A 2219-nucleotide genomic window follows, 5' to 3' on the forward strand; every position below is an offset into this window, starting at 1 on the left:
TGTCAAGCATCTGTTATCAGGAATGGAGCCTGTTAGCTGGCAATTGGAGGTGCAGGAGGAACTGGAATAAAGAGGGGAAGGAGAGTGGGAACGCCAGGCAGGACAGGAAAGTGGGCTCTGGAATGTTCACATTTGATCCCCTGCACATTCTTTCTTTTTTTTTTTTCCTTTGGTCTGTTGCAACTTGTCTGTGAACCATACGAAATTCAGAATAGAAACTTCCATTTTTAGAACTTGAAATCTTTTCATTTTCATACACACACAAACGGAGGCAGCCAAGGCCACAGGATATCACAAGAAACATAAGTGTCTCATTGACTCTGAAAAGACAGTGACACAAATACACTTTCACAAAATGCTCAGCTGGGTCCCAGCCTGCCACTTGGCCCTTTCTCCCACTCCTCCGTTTCATTGCATTGAAGGAAGAGACATGCACTGTGTTTCCTCCTCAGGTTTTAGTAATTAAAACAATATTGTAGCTCTTTGAAGTTTTATTTGGAAATATACTGCGCTTTGTTCCCTCCAATGCTGCCTGGCTCACACAGCCTATTTGGCGCATTTGGCATCTCTTTATCCAAGGGAAGCGCTTTTCCCGGGGTTGGTATTTTTTTTTTTTTCTTGGCATCACAGCATTGAAGAAGGCACAGAGGAGTGAGAAAATGAAAGTCCCCCTTAACAAAGGATTGAGCTGTGACTTCTTAAGAGAAAAGGTTAAATTGACTGGCTGCGTGTCTTGGAGTGAAACAGGAGAAGGGCTGCTTCCCTTTTTACTCACCGCCAGTCAGAATAATTCATTTCCTAAGGCAGCCTACCTGTGACAGTCACAGGTGACCTCCCAGCCTGCTAAGCTCGGATGATTTCCCCTTCCCATTGCCCGAGTGCAGCTCCTGCCAGAAGACAAATGTACTGCAAGTCGAAGACATATCTGTAGTGCGGAGGAAAAGCAGCCTGTCTACATATGTCATTTTAAAGCCTCGCACGGAGATTTTACTGCTTTCTTCACACTCTCACACTTACATAAATACACCCACACAGTACAGGCAAGTTCCCCAGACTCCCAAGCGTTTCTCTCCCATTAGGAGACATTTTAAAACAAATTAGCACCCTCCCCAAAAGCCTATTGGCCTAAATGTGTTTATTACTTTGTTTGCTGTTTTAAAAACTCTTCCTAAAGGCGTCAAACGAGGCTGGGGAGTTCCTACAGAATTAAGCACACCCTTCGTCTGTTGAGGAATATACACATTCGACAAAGACTGAAATCTCTCTTTTTTTTTTTCCTCTTGACACAGCGGCTGGTGACACATAAATGTACTTTTTTTCCTTTGACAGAGTAATAAAAATCTCATTATCTCTGAATAGGCAGCAATTTCGTTATCTAATCTTTTTACCAAAAGGTTAGTTAATTAATCAGAAACAAATCCTGATGATTATTTCAATAGAATTAGAAAGACAAATCACCAGAGTACAGCTAAATAGGGCAGGCCTGCGGTTTCACCTGCTCATTGCCATGCAGGCCCCGTGACTGTCAGGGCTCCTCCAGGCAGACAGCCTCCGGAACAGCAGCCAGCAGATGGCTGCGCCGAGCGGCCAGCCTGCCTCCGCTCCAATGCCTGTGATCCCATTACCTCACTGAATCCGTTACCAGGGTAACTGTTAAATTGCTGTGAAAGGCATGGTAATAAAGTAACCTGTCACATTGGCAATAAAAGGAGCAGAATTTTCCTGTTCACTGAACTTTGCAGCTCATCAATACTCACTTGATGGAGAAATTCACCACTACTCCTGGGTCAGCCACAGGAATCTTTCCATAAGGCTTCTGAAATGCAAACGAAAGTTTATGTAAACACAAGAAAAGATAGAATTAAAAGCTGGATTCTTAGCTGCACAGAGCAAATGCTTCTTTTTCTGTGCAAGGGCTCTGGGAGCTTGAAGAACATCAGATTGCTCCCTTTGTTTTTGTTGTTTTTTAATTTAAAGCATGCTAGATAAAAATAACCTTTGCTGGGGAAAGACAGCTGTGATTAATTCAAGACTGGGAAAACAAAGCACGAGGAAAAAAATCCTTTGTTCCTAAAATCTGTCTTTCTTTTTTTCAGATGCTATCTTACTGGCTCTTTTTATTAAAGGGTCAGGGTGCTTTAAAAAATGATTTGGATTTGAGAGTTTTTTTTTTTTTTGTTTTTTTTTTTAAGAATGGAGAGCCTTGGTTTTCATAAGCA

At 42.2% G+C, this 2219-nt stretch overlaps 1 annotated feature.

Moving 5' to 3' along the window:
* Positions 313-812: an enhancer, noted in NCBI's record as "H3K27ac hESC enhancer chr5:124747359-124747858 (GRCh37/hg19 assembly coordinates)". NCBI's record gives its function as "activates a minimal SCP1, AML or CMV promoter by ChIP-STARR-seq in primed H9 embryonic stem cells {active_cell/tissue: H9 hESC(primed)}" and the evidence as "EXISTENCE:reporter gene assay evidence [ECO:0000049][PMID:30033119]".

The sequence above is a fragment of the Homo sapiens genome, chromosome 5 (genome assembly GCF_000001405.40).
Source record: "Homo sapiens chromosome 5, GRCh38.p14 Primary Assembly".
In the NCBI taxonomy this organism is placed as follows: Eukaryota; Metazoa; Chordata; class Mammalia; order Primates; family Hominidae; genus Homo; species Homo sapiens.